At 37.5% G+C, this 24,660-nt stretch overlaps 1 protein-coding gene and 1 long non-coding RNA gene across 2 annotated transcripts in view; both read right to left on the bottom strand.

Annotated features, from left to right (window-relative positions):
• The window catches only part of LOC124904410 (uncharacterized), a 41,997-nt gene that overhangs the window by 5,659 nt on the left and 11,678 nt on the right, over positions 1–24,660 (bottom strand). The gene's annotated exons all lie outside the window — the stretch shown is intronic.
• Positions 16,350–17,109, bottom strand: PPIAL4C (peptidylprolyl isomerase A like 4C). The gene has a single exon (NM_001135789.5). It carries the CDS (start codon positions 17,057–17,059, stop codon positions 16,565–16,567), a length of 495 nt encoding a protein of 164 aa, NP_001129261.2. The 5' UTR covers positions 17,060–17,109; the 3' UTR covers positions 16,350–16,564.

Here is a 24,660-nt window from a genome sequence, read left to right as displayed (position 1 = left end):
GAATAACCCCTCACTCAGAAAAAGAGAGCCAGAAAGAAGAGAATTCTAGTCTAGGGACTCAGAGAATAGACCACTCAGAACAAGAAGCCCACACGAAGACCTTCCTGCCCAGAGGATTGCTTTCAAAAGAAGCCTGGGACTCTACCCCAGCTTCAGAGAGAATATTCATCCCTTCAGATTCAAAATCTGTCCTTAGCCATCAACGGGCTTTTGTCTGGAGCAATGGCTCAGGAATATGATTCACCAATGGATCCCTAATCAGTCAGAAATGACAACAAAGACTTCAAAGGCATGCATTTAGGGTTCTGAGTGAGAGGCCCAGGATCCAGTGATGAATCTGTCCTAGTTGAGTTTCAACACCATAATTGTTAAAGAAAAAATTATTCAGTGATACTTCAAATGCACAGTAAAGAAGACTTTATTCAGGACCATCACCATAGATATAGGAACCACTGCAACACAGTCTTGGAGCTGGGGAGAGAGATGGGCTTAACTCTGAATACAGCATGGGGAAGTGGGAATTTATAGCCCAGGAGCAATGCAGGGGTCAGTGAATGGAAAATCACTAAGAGGAAACATCAGGAGTAAGGGAGATTCTGGCTAAACCGACCTAAAAGAATTCTTGCTGAAGACTGGCCAGGGTGATCAGACATCACCTGCAGAATGGTGAAGAATGAAGAACTTGATCAGATATTGAGAATGAGGGGTTCTTTGGTAAACTTGGCAGTGTTCTTTGCTAATGCTGGATTTTGCGAGGAAGTGCACAGTTTAGCCTAGCTGAAGATTTAGAAGCCTGACTAAAGTTGGCCAAGCAAAGAATCTTTGTTATCAACATATTCCATCAAACCTCACATCCCTGCCTTAAATGATCAAACCATCCGCACTCCTGTATGCTACTGTTCTCCATGAAAAGTTACTTCTTCTTTGCCTTAACCAAAATCCAGCCATTCTAGAAAGACACCAGAAGGCTTTCTGCAGCATCTAAAATTCCCCACATTCTAGGCCCAAATCCTTTTCCTTTCCCTGTTGCTTTTAGATCCACATTGTGTAACCCTCATCTAGAAACCTCAGTTTCTTGGAGTCATTTTTTTTGGGGGGACGGAGTTTCCGCTCTTGTTGCCCAGGCTGGAGTGCAGTGGCACGATCTCAGTTCACTGCAACCTCCATCTCCCAGGTTCAAGCGATTCTCCTGCCTCTGCCCCTTGAGTAGCTGGGATTACAGGTGTCTGCCACCATGCCTGGCTAATTTTTTGTATTTTTAGTAGAGACAGGGTTTCATCCTTTTGGCCAGGCTGGTCCCGAACTCCTGATCTCAGATGATCCACCTGCCTCAGCCTCCCAAAGTGCTGGGATTATAGGTGTGAGCCACTGAGCCAGGCCATTCTGTCTTTTTATATAATGTAACTTGTACTTTTATGTAGTAAATTATCACAAAGGTGTCAGACACTCTGAGGAAGAGTATTTTACTGTATCATTCCCATTACCCAATCAGGAAGTCTTAACAGGCAGATTTTAACAAAAATATAAGACACAACTGTGCCCTAGCTTTTCTCACATACTTCCTACCTCACACTTCACACATTTCTTTTTCTCAGCACCCACTCTTAAGTAATAATTTATTTCCCCTGAATATTATTTACCTTCTGTGGGCTACTTTACATATCATCCGAAAGCATGATCAAAACAGTTATATTTGTGAATAATTTTATTTTGGTTTATTTCTTAGCAGAAGGAGGAGTTAATAGTAACATATGTAGGCCGGGCACGGTGGCTCACGCCTGTAATCCCAACACTTTGGGAGGCCGAGGCTTGCGGATCATGAGGTCAGGAGATCGAGACCATCCTGGCTAACACGGTGAAACTCTATCTCTACTAAAATACAAAAAAATTAGCCGGGCGTGGTGGCGGGCACCTGTAGTCCCAGCTACTCGGGAGGCTGAGGCAAGAGAATGGCGTGAACCCAGGAGGTGGAGCTTGCAGTGAGCCGAGATCGCGCCACTGGGCTCCAGCCTGGGAGACAGAGCGAGACTCCATCTCAAAAAAAAAAAAAAAAAAAAAAAAAAGGAACATTTGTAATCTCCCAGAGATTGCCAAGGAAAACATTCTCCTGGCTGAATTTATGTAGAGTTCATCATCTAAGCATAAAATATTTTATAAAGGAATGGGCCAATCAAATAACTGCTATGCAGTTGACACCATAAACCAAGTTAGCTTAGTACCACTCTAAATAGTTGCTGGGAATATAATGATTTTCAAAGACATGATCTCTAGAAATAAATAACTAAAAGAGAAGCACGGTGTCATGCATTTATGCATACACATAAGCAGGGACTAGAGATCAAGAATAGAAATAAAAGAGGTTTTTACGCTTGGGGTGCTAAGGTCGCAATGATTTATTTGGAGAGAAAACGGAAGCCCTTCTTTAGTAAATGCAAAGCACCATGTGTTTAATGAAGATACATGACCTAAGCTTTGAAGATCGTTTAACTAATTCAATAACCTTGCCAAGTATCCATTACTACATCTCAACAATCAAATTTACAGTGACATCTTTGAGTTAAATCTCTCCATAGATGTCTGGAAACAGCTTAATTCTGTTAACTGCTGCCCATTGAATTATGCTTTATTTGGTCGTAGAATTTCATGTCATCTGTTAGTCTCCCTCACAACTTGGGAGATGTTATTCCTGTATTGTCTGTTCTCGTTGATGAAGAGAAGTCTGTGATAAAGTAATTGTCCTTCCTTTGCAGGTAATCTGCCTTCCATCTCTGGTTGATTTGAAAATATTGTATTAGTCTTTAGTATCTTGCATTTTACTGTGGTATGTCTACATATGGATTTATACTTACTGAGTTTGCTCAGAGCTTGGAGTATTTCCTCAGTCTTAAAGGCCCTAGTTGTGAAAATGTTACTACAGAAAAACTTTCTTTTTTTAACTTAAAATCCTTTTTATTGGGAAATAAATGTAAGATTATAGATAAGTTTGAAAATAAAAGAATTGTTAGAACAAAAAATACTCATATGCCTGTTACCCTAATTTGTCTATTATTATTTTATTAAATTTAGGTTACCATTTGTTCTCTCTCTCTCTCTCTCTCTCTCAATATATATCCCAATTTTCAGTCTTTAGATCTAAATCTTTCAGCAACCTGGACTATCATGGCCCCAGTGTAATGCTTGGCTTTGTACCTCATGAGGGAAGAAATTTTTTTTTTTAATCTTAAGTTCTAGGGTACGTGTGCATCACATGCAGGTTTGTTACATAGGTATACATGTGCCATGTTGGTTTGCTGTACCCATCAACTTGTCATTTACATTAGGTATTTCTCCTAATGCTATCTGTCCCCCAACCCCCCACCCCCTGACAGGCCCCAGTGTGTGATGTTCCCCACCCTGTGTCCATGCATTCTCATCGTTCAACTCCCATCTGTGAGTGAGAACATGCGGTGTTTGGTTTTCTGTCCTTGTGATAGTTTGCTGAGAATGATGGTTTCCAGCTTCATCCATGTCCTTGCAAAGGACATGAACTTATCCTTTTTTATGGCTTCATAGTATTCCATGGCACATATGTGCCACATTTTTTTAATCCAGTCTATCATTGATGGACATTTGGGTTGGTTCCAAGTCTTTGCTATTGTGAATAGCACCACAATTAACATACGTGTGCATGTATACATCTTTATAGTAGAATGATGTATAATCCTTCGGGTATACACCCAGTAATGGGATCGCTGGGTCAAATGGTATTTCTAGTTCTAGATCCTTGAGGAATAAACACACTGCTTTCCACAATGGTTGAACTAATTTACGCTCCCACCAGCAGTGTAAAAGCATTCCTATTTCTCCACATCCTCTCCAGTTTCTGTTGTTTCCTGACTTTTTAATGATCATCATTCTAACTGGCATGCGATGGTATCTCATTGTGGTTTTGATATGCATTTCTCTGATGACGAGAGACGATGAGCATTTTTTATGTGTCTGTTGGCTGCATAAATGTCTTCTTTTGAGAAGTGTCTGTTCATATTCTTTGCCCACTTTTTGATGGGGTTGTTTTTTTCTTGTAAATTTGTTGAAGTTCTTTGTAGATTCTGGATATTAGCCCTTTGTTAGACGGGTATATTGCAAAACTTTTCTCCTATTTTTTAGATTGCCTGTTCACTCTGATGAGAGTTTCTTTTGCTGTGCAGAAGCTCTTTAGTTTAATTAGATCGCATTTGTCTATTTTAGCTTTTGTTGCCATTGCTTTTGGTGTTCTGGTCATGAAGTCTTTGCCCGTGCCTATGTCTTGAATGGTATTGCCTAGGTTTTCTTCTAGGGTTTTTTATGGTGTTAGGTCTTTCATTTAAGTCTTTAATCCATCTTGAGTTAATTTTTGTGTATGGTGTAAGAAAGGGATCCAGTTTCAGCTTTCTACATATGGCTAGCCAGTTTTCCCAGCACCGTTTATTAAATAGGGGATCCTTTGAGGGAAGAAAATTATTTCTAATATTTTAATCCAGCTATGTATGTAAAAAGAAGTCTTTTTCATATTTTATCTATTAGTTCTGTATGATTGGAGTATGAGTCAAAACATCTCAATATAAATAAAAAGTTACATTTCAGTAATTTTTTTTTCTAAAATTACAAAACACTAGTGGTCAAAAACACTACTATTTCCAATTCTCTTTACTTTGTTAACATTACTTTTTGTACTTATGAGAGAAGAGTTTGCAATCCAAAAAGAGCAGGAAGGAAGAGAGATTAGAGATTTTTTCTCCCACTTGCTCTATACATATGAGATATTTATACATCTATATATCAACATTTGACGTTTGAATAACACTGGTTTAAACTGTGTGAGTCCACTTATAGGTGGATTTTTTCAGCCAAATACAGATTGAAAATATAGTATTTGTGGGACGTGAAACCCACATATGTGGAGGGCCAACTTTTCATATGCGAGCTCTGCAAGGTTGACTGTGGGACCTGAGTATGTGCAGACTTCGGTATATGCAGGGCTCCTGAATGCAATACCCCACTAATACTGAGGGATGACTGTATATGTCTCTATCTATCTACTCTATCATATATATATATATATATACACACACACACACACACACACACAAATATGTGTGTATATATATGTATGTGTGTATATATATATATATACTTCCTATATTACTTTGCTAGGGTTGTTATAACAATTACTGCAGACTGGATGAGTTAAACAACAGAAATTTATTTTCTCACAGTTCTGGAGGCTAGAAGTGTGAGGTCAAGGCATCAGATGTGTTAATTTTATTCTGAAATTTCTCTCCTTGGCTTTTAGATAGTCATTTTCTCATCTTGTCTTCTCATGGACTTTTTTCTGTGCACATGTATGTCTGTACCTAAATTTCCTCTTCAAATAAGGACACCAGTGATATTGGATTAGGACCCAGACATGTGACCTCATTTTACATTAGTTACCTCTTAAAAGTCTCTATCTCCAAATATAGCCACCTTCTGATATACTGGGATGGCAGGGGGCAGGGTACAGCATATTAATTTGGGGAAAGGACACAATTCAGCCTATAACATATGCAATATATTCTTCTCTGATCTATATTATATAACTTTTACATATAATACATATATAATTTAATATACATTTTAACCCCTTGATTAATTTTCTCACTGCAGAGAAAACAAGAATTAAAGAAAAGCTTCAGGTGATACCGTTTTTGAATGAGTAAGAATTGAGCCTACCCTTAACACAAGAATGAAGTAGAAATAAACTGACTTAGGGAACAGCATAAAAAAGTTCTCTTATGAGTCAAGATTTCAGTGTGATGTCATCATTTTTTCCAGGGATTAAATGTTAGAATATATTGCATGCCCATATTGAGGTGGAATCATAAACTTATTTCAGACTTATTATAATGGCTCATTTTCTTATGCCTTCACCATTGAACTTGTACTTAGCTGGGGATTGAGCTGAAAGTTTGCCTTTTCTGTATCTAGCATAGTTGCACCAAATCTGACCTTAATCCCAAATTTTCCTCTCTGTAATATCTTGTTTCCAAATGAGGCTCACATTGAATTTTCTCTTGTTAGAAATATAACTGGCAAGACCAATCAAAACCATTCATTCCATTCAGTTGCCTGTGAACAAGCTTGATTTGCTTTGTTATGAATACAGCTTCTTGTGGGTTAAGTAGAAAGCTCTTTTGTAAATATCCCTCAGTTTAAGTACATATGGTTTACATTTCCAGGTAAACTATAAATTCTCTGAGAAAGGCCCAGCACGGTGGTTCAAGCCTATAATCCCAGCTCTTTGGGAGTCTGAGATGGGTGGATCACTGGAGGTCAGGAGTTTGAGACCAGCCTGGCCAATGTGGTGAAACCCCATCTCTACCAAAAATACAAAAATTAGCCAGGCGTGGGGGTGCACGCCTGTAATCTCAGCTACTCAGGAGGCCAAGGCAAGTGATTAAACCCAGGAGGTGGAGGTTGCAGTGAGCTGAGATCGCACCACTGCACTCCAGCCTGGGTGACAAGCTGGACTCTGTCTCAAAAAAAAAAAAAAAAAATTCTGTGAAAAGATCTGTGATTTCCATTCTCCTTTATAGTAATTGTTAAGCACTCACAATTCGATGGTTATAACAACTATCAAAGAAAAACAATTATTTTAATAAATATTTTTCATCATTTTCTCCTTTCTAAGCCCTATGCTATGCACTAAAAACTGCAGAGAAAATCAACACATTCTCTACCTCACAGCAGATTTCTTGGAGAGAGATAGGGGTGGGGAGGGGAATAAGGGTTGCTAAATGTTGTCAACTTTGTAATACAACTCACAAAGGGAGATAGTTATTAGGGAGGCAAAGTGCTCAGGCTCAGATTTCAGGTTGCCTAGATTTGAATTCTGTCTTCACTGCTTCTTTTATGATTTGCCCAAATTACTTAAGCTCTTTAAACCACAGTCTCCTCATCCTTAAGATAGGGATAATAAATAGAACTTATCTCATAAAATTACTGTGAGGATTATAAGTGATTATGAAGTTGATTAAATTTCCCCAGTGCTTCATACAAAGAAAGGACTCAAAGGATATGCTAGTTCATAGTAGGGGCATAGAAGAAGATATCCCTTCTCTCCTGGGATATAGGTTATACATAACTGTCCACTATAAAATTGAAGATAGGCTAGAGAAAAGCTAAAAATGAAGAATCTAATAACTCTTTAGCCAAGAGAAAATGAAACATGAGGGAAAGGGAGAAGTTCCAAATGAGGTCCACATTTGTCGTGGGCCACTGAATGGTGGTGCCATTCAGGCAGAGGAAACCCAGAAGGAGGAGTCATTCTGTAGTTAGAGGGCACTTAATGAGATAATATTAGAGATAACTGAGGTTGAGTTGTTGGTACATATCTGGGTGCAAAGTCTCCATAGGTCCGGAATTTTGAATAGTTTTCTGGAGTCATCTGGTTATTGTTAAAGCCAAGAGAATTGGTGAGATCACAGAATACAATAATGATCAATAAGAGGGAAGGGAAGAGAGCCAAGAACGGGAGACTGGGAAGCATACACATTTAATTAAGGTTTGGTAAGGTGAAAGGTGTCAGCAGAGAATGTAAAGGTGAAATAATGAGAGAAAAAGGAGGACATCAAGGAGAAAGTCGTGTTTTGAAAAAAACAAAAAGGACACATTTTCAAGAAAGACATTGTCAATAGTTTAAATGTCAAAAAATAGTAGAGTATAATGCAATTAAAAAAAACAAAATCTATTGCTTTTGTTAATTAAATAACTAGTAACCTCGGCTGCAGCAGTTTCAGTAGAGTGAGGAGAGTTGACACCAAACTGCACCAGTGGAGTGAAAATAAGTGGGAAGAAAGAGTGAGGAAGTGGAGGACAGTCTTTTTTTTTTTTTAATAAAATATTTTCCCAAGCTGTCTTTTCTGGAACTTCCAACATGTCTGCTTAAGAGCTTGTCTAAGTTGAATTCATTCGAACTTCTTGAACCTAATAAGTTTCTTTTTGCTGTTTTTTTTTTTTTTTTTTGAGATGGAGCCTTGCTCTATCACCCAGGCTGGAGTTCAATGGTGCAATTTCGGCTCACTGCAACCTCCTCCTCCTGGGTTCAAGCAGTTCTCCTGCCTCAGCCCAATTAGTTTTAAAGACGCTGCATATATTGGCAGGGAAAACCTAGAACACAAAGTCAAACTTCCAATTATCTCCCTTCAGTGTTCAAATCAAGAGTTCATTTGTTGCAAGGAATGGGGATCTGGACACCAGGGAGAAGAATAGAGTTTTAGGAGGAGAGTTCTCCTAAAACTAAATGGAAGGAGGGTTCTTTGAGATACCAAGGACTTGCAGGACTTTATTTACAATGAAATGTTAGTTTCAGACAGCCCAGGAGGAATAGGTCTATTAAAGGAAAGCAAGAGTAGTTGGCGTAAGGAAACAATTTGCATTGGAGCCTAAGAGTGAGTATAGTAATGACCACATGAGAGACCCATTTGACTCAAGTACTTCAAAGCATTGCCAGTGTTAGTCTTTGCTCCACAATCAAGTGGGGAAAAAGTGAAATGTCTTTGAAGAGCATTTCCTGTAGGTGGCCTTTGAGGAGGTCCTGAAAATTCCAAACCTGCAAGTATTAATGGCAAAGAATAAAAATTTCTTTATGTAAAATACTTTTAAAAATCTTTCTAAATAGCAAGACATTATATATTACCATTGTTAAAAGATAAACGAATTGTGAAATATCATTAGAATTATATGCAGCAGATAAAATGGTCACTTTTTCTTTTGAGACAGAGTCTCGCTCTGTCGCCAGGCTGGAGCACAGTGGCGTGATCTTGGCTCATTACAACCTCCAACTCCCTGGTTCAAGTGATTCTTCTGCTTCAGCCTCCCGAGTAGCTGGGATTACAGGCACGTGTCTCCACCCCAGCCAATTTTTGTATTTTTAGCAGAGACGGGGTTTCACCATGTTGGGCAGGATGGTCTTGATCTCCTGACCTTGTGATCCACCCGCCTTGGCCTCCCAAAGTGTTGGGATTACAGGCGTGAGCCACTGCGCCCAGCCAAAAGGTCACTTTTTAAACTTAAAAATTATTAAGGAAACAGTGAAAACTTAATGTTTAAAAGAGTAGAAATAGGGAAAATTATTACACAGAAAAAGATAAACAACAGAGAAAGATAAATAAATTGCCAGTGAATATGTAAACAGTTGCTCAGCACCAGTGGTAGTTCAAATCCAAGTAGCACTGAGTTAGCATTTGTTAACTAATAAATTGGCAAAAATTATATTTTGATAAAACCCAGTGGTGTTGACATCCCAAGAAAAAGGGCTATGCTCACACAGCCTTGGAGCATGTGCACATTGATGATTTTTTTGGCATAAAAATTAGTGGTTTCTATTAAAATCAGCAGTGTAATTCACAATCGCTAAGACATGGAATCAACCTAGGTGCCCATCAACTGTGGCTTGGATAAAGAAAATATGGTACATATATGTCATGGAATACTTTGCAGCCATAAAAAAGAATAAAATCATGTCCTTTACAGCAACATGGATGCAACTCGATGCCATTATGCTAAGCGAATTAACACAGGAATAGAAAACCAAATACCACATATTCTCACTTATAAGCAGGAGCTAAACATTGAGTACACGTGGACACAAAGATGGGAACAATAGAAACTGGGGACTACTCGAGGGTAGAAGGAGGGAGGGGGTAAAGGTTGAAAAACAACTACTATGTCTAGTACCTGAGTGATCGGATCAATCATGCCGCAAACCTCAGCATTACACAACATACCCATGTAACAAACCTGCACATGTACCCACTGTATCTAAAATCAAAAGTTGAAATTATAAAAAATAAAAAAATAAAATCAACAATGTATATTTCTCTCACACAGCCATCACGATGATGTATTTGGAATAAGATATGCATAAGTATGTTCGTTGCAGTGTTGTCTGCAAGGACAAAGTGAAAACAATCTGAATAACCAACAATATGACACAGAGTAAGTAATTATTGGTACGTCTGTACAATGCCTCATGCAATCACCACTGACAGCGTGGGAAAGAGAGACATCTATTATGAAAAGACCACTAAGACATATGATTACATGATAAGTGCAAGGTTCATGAATAAATAGCATGTATACTAGTATAGCATACTTCTTTCTAAGAAAGAAACCATAACACATACAAGAATGGACAAGAAGTTATTAACAATAGCTAACTTTGGTGATAAGACTGTAGGTTGTAAAAAGCCAGACTTTCATTTCTCATTTTAAACCCAATGAATTATTTAAATCTAACCCTACTGCATTCATTATCTTTATAATAAAATAAATATGTATAACAATGAAACATAGTTTTTAAGTATTTGGGACATAAATTAAACATTAATAGATTACACCTCTTAAACTTGGTACTTTAGTATCCCATCTCTCTGTGAGAACTCTGAAAGCTTCATCTTCCACAGTTTAGGTAATTCTTTGGTGTCTTATTTTGTTATTTTCTTGCCCTGAGATTAGCAATGTCAGATCTCCAAACTGCTAACTCTTCTCTTTGGCAGATCAAATGCTTCTTCTTAAAAAAATTAAGTTTTTAAAATGTATTTCATAGGATTTTTGTTCTCTCTCTCCCTCTTTTTGTGCATATGTGTGTGTGTCTGATTAGTCTTTATTATCTTAAAATGGTTAGTCCTGATAGACCTGTTTCTTCAAAATTTCTCTCAGTTCTTTGGCAGTTTGCTCTTAGCTTATAATTAAAGATCAATTTCTGACTTGTCTTGTTCTAGAAAACCTCAATGGAAATTACAGCAAGCTGAATAGGATATTAATTAAAAACATAAACCTGGTGAAACCCGAACATAGAGGCTCCAGTTCAAAGATGCTTCCAATAGTTGACATGGCCCTTCATTCCTTAAAACCAGCTATTTTTCTTTCGAATTACATTACCTTTAATTCTGTAAATTGGATGTTATATAGTACCATGAAAACTGCTGTGAGTAATTATAATACTCATTGCTGAGTGATGTGACTTCTTTCTCAAGGCTATTTCTGAGGGAAATTGTACAATTAGATCTTTAGGTATTGTGACTTGTTTTGGAAATCATGGTGGCCCTCCAGGGAGCTAATGAATCTTTAATTATTTAGAGGTTCACATGAGACCCCTTACAGATATAAGCACATTAGCTCTGTAGCTAAGGGAACATTTAAAAACAGTAACATGAAATGTGTCAGACATAGAGGAAAGATGAAGAAGCAAGTAGAAGCTAATGCAAACAGAGGAACTGCCAGCTCTCTGTGGCACTCTAGCTCTCTCTGTCAGTATTTGGTTGGCAATGTAGACATAGTGGATGAGTGCAATTACATATGTTAGGCTCATTCTGAAATGCAGGAGCATTTTAGATTTTCATGTAGAAGCCTGACAAGCAAACTACATCTAGGATATACTTTGATAACTTTGAGTTGAGAGCCAAATTTTTTGAAGGTAAACCATCTCCCTGTTTTAAAGTAGTGTTTAAAATTATAAAAATTTTAATACATCTGTAATATAAAATATTTAGCTATAAATACTACAAGTGCAAATGAATCTTTTTTTCTACTTCTGCATTCAACTTTTCTCTTCTCCCTTTAGGGAAAACACTTTTGTGTAAAGGCCTCCAAAATATATGTAGAGGCGTATGTATGTTAAAAACATGTATACATATAATGCATAACCAAACAAATGAAATATCCTAAACATATGGACCTGAAAATTGCTTATAATAAATTTGAACTGAACATATAGGCATAAATGTGGTTCAGAAGTGTCCAGTTGAAGCAACTTCACTTTGTTAGGTCAACAAAAGTTGGGGACACCAAGATCTACTCCTCTGATTTTGTTCTAGCATTATCTTAATGGAAATGTTTACTGAAATGGAAATACATGTAGTGGACATCGTGGTGGTGTCTCAAGCATTCAGTGTTCCCTGCTCTCACACACTCCTAACCAAATAATGAATTTCTCAGCTTCACAATGTTTAAGTGACATGAGTCCCATGCCCAATTCTTGGTCATTGTAATTGGTGCATGAAGGAACCTGTGCCTTCTGCTAATCAAATCAGAATGAAGTACAACTTTTTCATTCCATGATTGAAGGGGTAAATGCCTTCTTTCCAAATGCAGCAGAGGAAGCACGAGGTACTAGGATTGGAAGTTGTCTACTCATGACATGATATTTTAAGCCATAGAATAAAACTGAGACCTAATGTCTTAGTCCTTTCAGGTCGCTATACCAGAATATCACAGCCTGGATGGTTTATGAACAACATAAATTTATTTCTTACAGTTCTAGAGGCCAGGAAGTCCAAGATCAAGGTGTCAACAGATTCAGGGTCTAATGAGGATTTGTTTCCTGGTTCACAGACAGCTGTCTTTTTGCTGTGTCCTCACATGGTGGAAGGGGCTAGGAAGTTCTCTAAGGTCTCTTTTATAAGGGCACTAATCCCATTCATGAGGGCTCTGTCCTCATGACCTAATCACCCCCCGAAGACCCACTGCCAAATATCATCACACTAGGGATTAGATTTAAACATACAAATTTTGGGGGACTACAAACATTCAATCTATATCACTTAAGGTAGAGTGAAGAAACAGGGAGGACAAGAAGCATTTATTTTGTGTCATTATTAAACTTCTGCATTAAACTATCTTGAGCCTATACTATTGTTCAAAATCTCTTTATTATACAAGCCATTTTGAATTTTGATTGTTTGCAACCAAAATTAACCTAATAAGTTAAAATGTACTATAATGTTACATCATAATTTGTCTGTACTAGTAGTATTTGCTAGAGTGTTTAGGGGAATACTTGCTTGTTAACTTTTTAGTAAATATAACACTCCATGTTCAAATACATTTGGGAAATGCTGAGCATTTCACACTTTTAGAGACTCAAAACAGGCAGCACATTTTTAAAAAATAAAAATAAAACCAAATAGCATTGCATTTGGAGAATGGTACAAAAAAAGAGAATTTGATAAACCGGAGTTATCAGAACTCAGTGGATACTATGTGTTAGACATTATTATAAGCCATTAAACATTTTACAAGCTTGATACCTGAGTTAAAAATTAATAACCCAAAGACACATTGGAAGAGAAAAGTTGACATATTTTTATTATATTAATGACCTAAAAATATCATAGCAACTAACGTCATTATAGTCAACAAGTGAATGAACGTAAATAATATTAAATAACTATTAGAAAGTCTCTCTGATTAAGCATGGAAATAAATAGGCAGTGCTTTTGACCAATAAATGGAGGACTTACAATATTTTCCAATACAAAACAAAAACATTCTAAATGTGAAGGTATTAGGCCCAAAATATGTTAGTCAATTCATGACAGCAGAAATTCAGCAGGTCATATTTTTGGGGTAATGTAAATGACAATAGAAATCATGGACTAAAGTGTAACAAATAAGTAATATCTAGGCAGGTGGAAATTTTAAGATCTTTTAAATTAACTTCTGGACTATAGCAAAAATTCAAACTAAAATTCATCAGGGAGTCAGGGAAGGTCAAATGAAGAAGCATGGGGATTGAGGCAAAAACCCTGAATTATACCAATATTATCTTTTTTTTTTTTTTTTTTGAGACAGGATCTTGCTCTGTTACCCAGGCTGGAGTGCAGTGGTGCAATCATAGTTCACTGCAACCGCAACCTCCTAGGCTCAAGGGATCCTCCCACCTCAGCCTCTTGAGTATCTGGGACTACAGACCCTCATCACCAAAACACCCATCTAATTTATTTATTTTTTGTAAAGATGAGGTCTCACTTTGTTGCTCAGGCTGACAAGTATTATCTTAATGTTATAGAAAAAAAGTAATTCTGGCCATATATAGGTATTATTCTTTGCAGTGGAATATCATTTCAGAAATTTGTGCCAAACATAAAATTAGTTTTCTAGTAGTAAAAAGTAATTAAACTCTTTAAATTATTATTACCCCTAGTATACTGGGGAATGGGTGTGTGTTCCAAATGAAAAAACTTGGGATGTCTAATGAGATGCTGTTTTCTGTCGCAGAAAATCTATGTAAAATGTTTTTTCTCACGTGTACACTGTTGATATTTGAGACAGCACATGTTAACACTTCAAGAAGTAAAATAAATGTGTTGATTATATCCACAGTTTTCATATTTATTAACTACATATTTCATTTTTAATGTAATGCCTGTTGAAAAACCTGTAAATAGTTGTTTCTTAAAATTGACATATACTGCCTAAGATTTTTCTGTATATTTTCATATTTCAATTTTCCTGTGAGGTTAGAATGAACACTTTTAGCTAAGACATTTGGGCCTCCAAATCCTAAACCTTTCAGAATGTTAGTTTATTATTTGGTTTTTACCTAAATTATTTTCTGCTTATTCAAGAACCTTAGGTCTATCCAGTTACATTTTTATTTTTTTATTTTTATTTTTTTATTTTGAAACAAAGTCTCACTCTGTTGCCAAAGCTGGAGTGCATTGGCATGATCTCGGCTCACTGCAACCTCTGCCTCCCAGGTTCAAGTGATTCTCCTGCCTCAACCTCCCCAGTAGCTGGGATTACAGGGGCATACCACCACACCCAGCTAATTTTTGCATTTTTAGTAGAGATGGGGTTTCACCATGCTGGCCAGGCTGGTCTCAAACTCCTGACTTCAGGTGATCTGCCCACCTCAGGATCCCAAAGTGCTGGGATTATAGGCGTGAGCCACCATGCCTGGCTGTATCCAGTTACATTTTTAAGACCAGCCAGGCTTAATATATATTTGGTCTTTAGCTCAATTCAATTTGTTGCATTTTGTCCATTGTACTTCATGTGACACAGAATATATCTTAATTTAAAAAGACATATGTTTGTTGAGCTATCTGTTACGCTGGTATATCTTGGAATTTTAAAAAATATAAACCACAGAAGCCAATTATGGCTGACATTAACAATAAATAGGTTTATCACAGAAATAGTGGGGAACTTGTAGAACTGTTGAGAAGGCTAGAGAGCCAGATCAAAGCTAGGCAGCCAGGAAATGTACCCCAAACCATGCTGTAGAACTCATCCAGGGAGGAAACCACTGTCACCACCAGTAAGAAGTAACACCAAAGATGCAGAGAGCAACAATTGCAGCAATTGCTCAATCCTAGGCTAACTGCAAAGCCACCAGCACCACTCCCACTTGTTTGCTTTGCAACAGATATTGTAGCAGCTGCTACATGGCCTCCACCAGAAACAAGAGAAAGCATAACTGAATCTGCTTCTTTTTTTATTAATTCCGAAGTCGAAATTCAGCACTGGCAAACAGATTGGCAAAACCTAAGTCATATGCTTGTACCCTAGCTGCAAAGGAGGCTGAGAAAGCAAGCATTTGGCATTTTAGCTTCTAAAGCAGGAGGTGGTTTCTTGTTTTCATCAAAACTGAGAGGCTGAGGAATTCCTCAAACACAGAAACAAACATCAAATAATAAATATTCATGCTTTAACTTGCTCAATATCAATATAAACTTTCCCTTTTGAAAGTAAACACGAAAGACCCAAGCTTCCTTCTAACAGAGTGCAACTATTTCTCTAATAATTGAACATGTACCTACAATCTCTTGAACAATGAAACAATAAAAAATTCTCAATCACAGCATGTACTCTAAGTCTAAGAATTCTGGGTTATGTCCATTCCTCTACGAAGTTCTTCACTATACTCTCTTGACATTCTGCCATATATCATTTAAAAATTAAGTTAATCACCCTCAATAAGCCCTGTTTTAAAAAGAGGGATAAATGGAGAGGAAGGAAGGAAAGTTGTTAAGATACATAAGTATGCACAGGACAATACAAGAGAAACAATGTGTTTGGATGTCAAGGCTCTCCTTTCTGCAAGTGGCCAGCAGGTCACTATTGGCATCTATGGCCATGTGCCCTCAGCTAACACCTCTGCTAGTCAGGGTTTTGCCTTGTGAGATGACCAAATATTCATTCCTGACAGAGAAATGTCCTTGGTAATCTTTTTGTGTGAGCGTGCCATGGTCATTGTTAATTTCTTTCATTTAACAAAATAATAGACTTTATTTTTTGAGCAGTTTTAGCTTTATGGAAAGATCGAGCAGAAAGTACAGAGTTCTCACATACTGTCACCTTTATCCCACCCCCAGTTTACATTAGGGTTCACTCTTTGTGTGGTACAGGTCTAGGAGTTTTGCAAAACGCATAATGTCATGTACCCATCATTACATTATTACCAACGTATTTTCAATCCCCTAAAAATCGCCTGTTTCAGAACTATTTATCTCCCTACCCATCCCCAAACTCCTGGCAACCACTGAGCTTTTTTGTTGTTGTTGTTGTTACTTAGTTTTTATTTCATAATCATAAACTTAACTCAACTCTGCAATCCAGCTAGGCATGGAAGGGAACAAGGAAAACATGGAACCCAAAGGGAACTGCAGCAAGAGCACAGAGATTCTAGGATATTGCAAGCAAATGTGGTGGAGGGGTGCTCTCCTGAGCTACAGAAGGAATGGGTCTGGTGGTGAAAATAAAACACAAGTCAAACTCATTAGAATTGTCCACAGTCAGCAATGGTGATCTTCTTGCTGGTCTTGCTATTCCTGTACCCAAAGTGCTCCATGGCTTCCACAATATTCACACGTTCTTTCACCTTGCCAAAGGCCACATGCTTGCCATCCAACCACTCAGTCTTGGCAGTGCAGATGAAAAACTGGGAACCATTTGTGTTGGGTCCAGCATTTGCCATGGACAAGATGCCAGAACCTGTATGCTTTCGGATGAGGTTCTCATCATCAAATTTCTCCCCATAGATGGACTTGTCACCGGTGCCATTAGGGCGTGTGAAGTCACCACCCTGACACATAAACCCTGGAATAATTCTGTGAAAGCAGGAACCCTTATAACGAAATCCTTTCTCTCCAGTGCTCAGAGCACGAAAGTTTTCTGCTGTCTTTGGAATCTTGTCTGCAAACAGTTTGATGGAGATGCGGCCCAAGGGCTTGCCGTCGACGGTGATGTCAAAAAAGACGACGGAGTTGACCATGGCTGATAGTACAGGGCTCACAGCGATGGTGGCGTCTGCAAAGATAACCACTGATCTTTTTACTGTCTTTATAGTTTGGCCTTTTCCAGAATGTCGTATAGTTGAAATCACAGTATGTACCCTTTTCAGACTGGCTTCTTTCACTTAGCAAAATGTCTTTGTTTTTTCTGTATCTTTTTGTGGCTTGATAGTTTTTTCCTTTTAGCACTGAATAATATTCCACTGTAGGAATATACCACAGTTTGCTTATGCAGTCACTTATTGAAGGACATCTTGGTTGCTTCCAAGCTTTGGCAGTCTTCATTTCTTTCTTTCTTTCTTTCTTTCTTTCTTTCTTTCTTTCTTTCTTTCTTTCTTTCTTTCTTTCTTTTCTTTCTTTCTTTCTTTCTTTCTTTCTTTCTTTCTTTCTTTCTTTCTTTCTTTCTTTCTTCTTCTTTTTTTTTTTTTTGGAGACAGAGTTTTGCTCTGTCACCCAGGCTGGAGTGAAGTGGTACAATCTCAGCTCATTGCAACCTCCGCCTCCCAGGTTCAAGTGATTCTCTTCCTCAGCCTCTGGAGTAGCTGGGATTACAGGTGTGCACCACCACGCCTGGTTAGTCTTCAGGAATATTTACAGGACTGTATAGAATTAGGAGCCATCAAAGGGGATCCCTGAATTCTTTCTGTTTTTCTTACAAATACCAGTTTTAAGGTCAAGATTTACTACCCCATGCAACAGTGTAGCCGCATTTTAAATTTTAAATTTTTGACTGTTTGTTTAAAGGTCTCAGGCAACCTAAAAGGCTAGATAGAAGTCTCTCATCCTCTAACGAAGGATGGATTGTAAAATGGAATACTGCTAAGACTCTCCCTTTGGGTACTAATTCTGCAAAAACCTAGAATCTCAGAGACAAGAGACAAGTATTTGGAGTGGATCATTAGATGTAATGACAAAAGGAGTCACTTCAACATTCATAACAAATATCAAAGATTGTTGTATTTTTTATATGGGAGACACCAGACAAGCTTATACTTAGTTACTAGTTCAGAGGATACACCACCACATCCTCTAGCATGAGTACAATCTTATAAGCCATTGTCTCCAGCTGGCACTGTGATTGAGTCTTTAATAAAATATTCACCATTCTATAATAATAATAATTTTGGTTAGTGATAGGATAAATGGTGGACCAGGTGAGTCCAATGAATATCTACTCATTTGTTATACAACAAGTTCTTTTAATAGAAGGATGTAGAACAGGATATTATGGCAGTATATATAAGGCATTCAATGTACCCGTGGAGAGTGGCGATCAGAGAAAAATGATGTCAGGTAAAGCAAATGTAATTCAAGGATGAAGGTAGATTCCATTTACAAAATTCCTTGTTGCCTTTATCATAGAGGAGCTCCAATAAAATCAACAAGTCTGACAAAAGGTGACTGATTTATTCACCCAGGATATGTTATTGTGTGCTTAGCCTTGGACTTTGTTGCTTGTGTGTTGGACACCTAATAGTCTTGACAGCTAAATAGGCTTTTGTAAGCGAGAGTGGTAAAGTCCAACATGTTGCTAAACCTATGTGTATTCTCTACTGCTACCACCAATGTTGCTGTTTATTAGCCTTCTGAGCAAGCAATGTAGTGCCTGGTGAAAGAGATTGTTTCATACCTTCATATCTATTTGATAACCTTCCTGATGATAGTTTGGTGAGCATTCGTATTAAGCACAAATATTCTTACACTCTGGCTCATTTTCTGTGGTTCATCTACATATTTTTTCCCCAAAACTCATTGCCACCAATCCTTCAGTCTTTGTCTTTCCGAGTCCCTAATTATCTTTTCTTTTCTTTTCTTTTTTTTTTTTTTTTGAGACAGAGTTTCGCTTTGTTGCCCAGGCTGGAGTGCAGTGGTGCAATCTTGGTTCACTGCAACTTCTTCCTCCTGGATTCAAGAGATTCTCCTGCCTCAGCCTCCCAAGTAGCTAGGATTGCAGGCACACACCACCACATCTGGCTAATTTTTGTATTTTTAGTAGAGACGGAGTTTCACCATGTCAGCCAGGCTGGTTTCGAACTCCTGACCTCAGACAATCCACCTGTCCTGTCCTCCAAAAGTTCTGGGATTACAGGTGTGAGCCATCAGGCCTGGCCCCAAGTCCTTAATTATCTAGACAAATTATTAGCTGCCACATATACATCAATAATATCTCTCCTAGACATCGTGGACAACCAATTACATAGGCTGAATTTCTTTTAAAATTGCATTCACGTAGGTTATAATGCCTAAGCAATCTACTTTTGGCTGCTGCTGTGATGTTGTACAGTGACTTCTGTAAATCAGGCTCAATTTTTCCCTCACTAATCAACTGGCCATAGAGAACTTCCCATGAAGACATAGGTATAGATTCTATTATTCCTACCTGCTGATGAAGCAGGATAGTTAATTGGAAAACACTTATTTCATGATAAGCAGCTCATGTTGTCATATTTTTTTGCATTGATAGGACTTCAGTTTCTACAATGGTCCAGGATCAATCAAGAGTTCTTTAAAGAAAACATTTATTTTGTCAAAGAAAGAAGCATTTTGTTCCAAATCCTAAGAACAATAGTAGTGGTGTGTCAGAGGCTCTATTGCATCTGGATATAAAAACAAAGGGGCACAATATTCCTGACCAGTTGGGAATTATTATCTTGATCTCAATCCCATCAAAAGGTGGCAGCATGACAAGTCATGAAGTAAAAGGACCAGGTGATAAAATGAGGTCTCCAAAATCCAAAGCATCAAAGTTCTCAGTTAGTGGTCAGGGCTGCAAAGTGCCATAATTTTTCACTTTGGAAGGTATATCTTGAGAATATTGAGTGTATGAGACAAGTTAAAAGGTCATGCAGCCAGACGCGGTGGCTCACGCCTGTAATCCCAGCACTTAGGGAAGCTGAGGTGGGCGGATCATGAGGTCAGGAGTTCAAGACCAGTCTGGCCAATATGGTGAAACCCCATCTCTACTAAAAATACAAAAATTAGTGGGGCATCGTGGTGCCCTCCTGCAGTCCCAGCTACTTGGGAGGCTGAGGCAGCAGAATCGCTTGAACCCTGAAGGCGGAGGTTGCAGTGAGCTGAGTTGGCGCCACTGCATCCAGCCTTGGCAACACCGCGAGACTCTGTCTCTTAAAAAAAATAAAAAAATAAAAATAAAAAAATGTAAAAGTTCGTGATTAACACCTCTGTTAGCCTCTGATCTTTATAATAATTATCACACACACACAAACCAAACACCACACATAGAGGAAACAGTAAAAGATTAAAGGACACAGCTAAAAATACATTTGTATTATTACTTCCCAAAGTTCTAAAATTATCAGAAGGGACTAGTGAATCTTTAAAAAATATTGATTATCCAACACTTTTTAATAACCAGTATAATTGCATTGAAGGCTACTGAACATGCACATGTTCCTAAAATTTTTCTGTTATGGTGTCTGGTTTGCGAAAGGAACAAAATTAAACATAGTTCCTTGGCAATTTTTCCCTCTTCCACTCTACTAATTGGCGTATGTGCGATGTGTGTTTATTGTAAAACAGGAATAAGATTCAGAGGTCAAGAATCAAAGTGAGTCAGAGTAGGAAAAGCCAGACTCAAGCATAACAGAAGGGCAGAGCCTGTCAAACCCCAAAATTAAAGGGTAAATTTCAACACAAGTAGAAGTGGTTCAAAAGCTAAGGGCATCCTCATAGTTCATGAAAAGCAAGTATTCACGCAGGTAGCAGACTCTAATCTGCTTCAAGCCAATGTGCTATTCTCTTCGTGTTATTTATATCCCTCAGAATACCTCAAAGTTCCCAAGAGCAGTCAGTATTTAACTCTAAACTATATCATCTATATGATATATTTATTATATATAATATATATATTTATTATATGTATAATACATATTATATATTTATTATATATTATATTTATATTGATTATATAATATATATATATATATATTATTATATATTTTTTTGAGACGGAGTTTTGCTTTTGTTGCCCAGGCTGGAGTGCAATGGCGCTATCTCGGCTCACCACAACCTCTGCCTCCCAGGTTCAAGTGATTCTCCTGCCTCAGCGTCCTGAGTAGCTGGGATTACAGGCATGTGCCACCACGCCTGGTTAATTTTGTATTTTTAATAGAGAAGGGGTTTCTCCATGTTAGTCAGGCTGGTATTGAACTCCCATCCTCAGGTGATCTGCCTGCCTCGGCCTCCCAAAGTGCTGGGATTATAGGTGTGAGCCAACGTGCCCAGCCAACTATGTAATATTTTAATTGTGTAGTGATAACCCTCATCAAAAGAAGTATTCATTATGGTCAGTGTACTCTGCTTATTTACCACTGAAGCTTAACACAAAATTGTTGAAATAAACATGCATATTGAAGTACTTAGCTAGCTATTGAGGCAATACAGGTTTCTAGATTTACTCATTTTTTTCACTGTACACACATGTCATGTGTGTCATGATAAACCCATGTGTGTGCATATATTGATTAAATATTATATTTCTTTTTACTTTTATTATTATTATTGAGAAAAGGTCTCACTCTGTCGCCCAGGCTGGAGTGCAGCGGCACAATCTCGGCTGCCTGCAGCCTTGTCCTCCCAAAGCCCTAGACCCTGTAACATAATGGAATATGTATGTTTCTAATTTGTGCAATATGGAAGCAGGAATACTACATAGAACTGTCATCTTTTCCTATTGCATTTATTTTGGTGTGGAAAAATATAATAATTGGCTTCAGTCAGTAAGTCTATTTCATTCAAGAATATTTAAATATAATCCAAACCATCTTAGGTACATTTTGTGATACAAGAGGATGGTATCTTCTATTTGGAAATATAAAATCCCAGGGTCTCACAGTTTAAGTATACTTTCCAGGGGTATGTATAAAACAAGAATCCCACTTTACAAAGTTAATAGAAAAAATATATGCTAATTGGAAGGAGAGGCTTCTGATTGAGGATAAAGTGGAAATTTTCACATACTGCTAATTACACTTTAATGGAGTAAGAAAAAAAGAATTGGAAATAGTACCCTATAAAACTTCTGAAATGAAATTACAGTTTCTCTCTCTCTCTCTCTTTTTTTTTTTTTCTTGAGACGGAGTTTCGCTCTTGTTGCCCAGGCGAGAGTGCAATGGCGCTATCTCAGCACACTGCAACCTTCACCTCCCAGGTTTAAGTGATTCTTTTGCCTCAGCCTCCCAAGTAGCTGGGATTACAGGCATGCACCACCATGCCCGCTAATTTTTTGTATTTTTAGTGACCCACCACGCCTGGCTGTCTCCTCTTTTTAGAATTAGGAGAACTGATTTTTTTCAGTGCTAAACTGGCACTGTCCTATGTTTTCAAGAAAGCAATATGGTGAAACAGAAGAGTCTGGATAGCATGTTTTGTTAGCTGGCGTCTAGTTCTTTAAGTTCCATGAGTCTATTGTGTCTTCTTTACATCTCAAAAAGAAGAGAGAAGAAACCTGCATCTAATTACTGAAGCAGTTTCATTCAGCAAATGTAATTGCATCGCAGGCACATCTCAAATTAAAAATCTTCATCTTGGTCTCTGTCATTTCCATTTTAAACTGGGACTGAATAACCTGTTTTGCCACTCAAAATAATAGCCAGTGTCTCTTTCTTATTAAAATATGTGATCTTTTGCTTGATTACCTAATTATGTCACCTGCACCTTACGTGAGGCAGATAGAAGAGTCTTCCAGTCTGCCAGAGCAGATCTACCAAACTAGACTGCACATACAAATTACCTGGGGATCCTGATAAATTGCAGATTCTGAGTCTGCCTTCAAACGGCCTCAAGTCAAGCTGATGGTATTAGTCCCAGGATCCCTCACTGAGTAGCAAGGTCTTAGAATTAAAAAGTGTGCAAGTATAAGGCCGGGAGCAGTGGCTCATGCCTGTAATCCCAGCACTTTGGGAGGCCAAGGCGGGTGGATCACCTGAGGTCAGGAGTTCGAGACCAGCCTGGCCAACATGGTGAAACCCCGTCTCTACTAAAAATACAAAAAATTAGCCAGGTGTGGTGGCACGCACCTGTAATCCCAGCTACTCAGAAGGCTGAGGCAGAAGAATTGCTTGAACCTGGGAGGTGGAGGTTGCAGTGAGCCAAGATCACGCCACTACACTCCAGCCTGGGCTCCAGCCTGGGCAACAACAGCAAAACTCCATAAAAAAAAAAAAAAGTGCAAGTTTATAAACATGGAAACGTGGACAATTGTAAGCAATATTAGAGAACTGTAGAAAACAATTTTTTAAGTGATATGTTTAACCTATTTAGAATAAAACCCATTATGGTCCTAGGAATTTCTGGAACTGCCTTACTTGTGAGAAACATGATCCTAAGATGCCCATTTGTTTATCAGTACATCAATTTTCTCCTTCTTAAATTGGTATCATTATTTTCTTCCAAGAAGCCTAGCACACTTTTGTTGTTGTCATTGAAAGAGGGCATATAAGGGTTATGGCTGCTATTTGGAGAAATGCATTAGAAAATAAAAAGCTTGAAAAAGTTGTATTACTGAGAAAAAAGTTGAATGAAAATAAGAAAGATTAAATTGAAATAAATAATGAATCAGTAAGGTATGCACTGTTAAACACTTGATGAGATTTCCCAAGTATCGACATGCTGATAACTTGAAATAAGAATGGGAGAAAAGGTCAATCTGAATTCTTAAAATGTTGAAGGCTGGGAATAAGAAGTAATATATCACAGAATCTGATAGAAAAATTTTTATTTATTTTATGGGAGAAAATGGGAGACTAACATACAATAGGAATAGGAAAGAATTAATAGAAATAGCAAAAAGAAGTGTATCTGCAATTATTAATATAATACAAGAGGACATTGTGTAGAGATATTTAAAGAAAGATTGATGAAATTTAGATTTATGGTGAAATATCCTAATAAAGACATTATTTATAATCAACTGTTCATCATTATTATATAATTCTGACAGTTTTAGGATATAAATGTAAGGCAGAATGATCTAATATAAAATGTATAAATGGGACAACATATAATTTTGCTTAGGAAGTTGAATAAATAAAGTAGTGATTTACAATTTGCATTAATATAAAAAAATTTAAAAAATGGTTTACATTTTGTTTGAAATGGATGATAAACAGGAAAAGAGTAATTTAGTACATTGAGTAATTTAGTACATTGGTCACCAAAGAAATACAAATTGAAACTATAAGATCCCTTCTCCCATCTTTGTCAGATTTGTAGGTATAAAAACAGTAGTAGTTGTATTGGTTGGAGAACAGAAAGATGACACTTTCATATGCGGCTGATTAGAGCACAGATTGGTATATTATTTCTGAGATGCAATTTGAAAATATGTACCATCAGCCTCAAAGATGATTATGACCATGTGTCACTACTTTCTTGGAAATCATTATTAATGCATGTATAGATTGATGTTTACTGTAGTATTACTTAACATAATGAGTTGAGTACAACCTTCACTCCCAAAAAACATGAGGTAGGGGTGAACTAGTTAAATATACAATCACAATGAGCTATGACAAAATGCAGTTACTTAAAAGCACATTTATAAGACTATTAATGGCAATAA

The sequence above is a fragment of the Homo sapiens genome, chromosome 1 (assembly GCF_000001405.40).
Source record: "Homo sapiens chromosome 1, GRCh38.p14 Primary Assembly".
Classification (NCBI taxonomy): Eukaryota; Metazoa; Chordata; class Mammalia; order Primates; family Hominidae; genus Homo; species Homo sapiens.
The sequence above is the reverse complement of the archived record's forward strand: the minus strand, read 5'-3'. Positions and strand labels throughout refer to the sequence as shown.

Coding starts and splice junctions, on each gene's coding strand:
- PPIAL4C (NM_001135789.5), bottom strand. CDS start 17,059: ATGGTCAACTCCGTCGTCTTTTTTGACATCACCGTCGACGGCAAGCCC.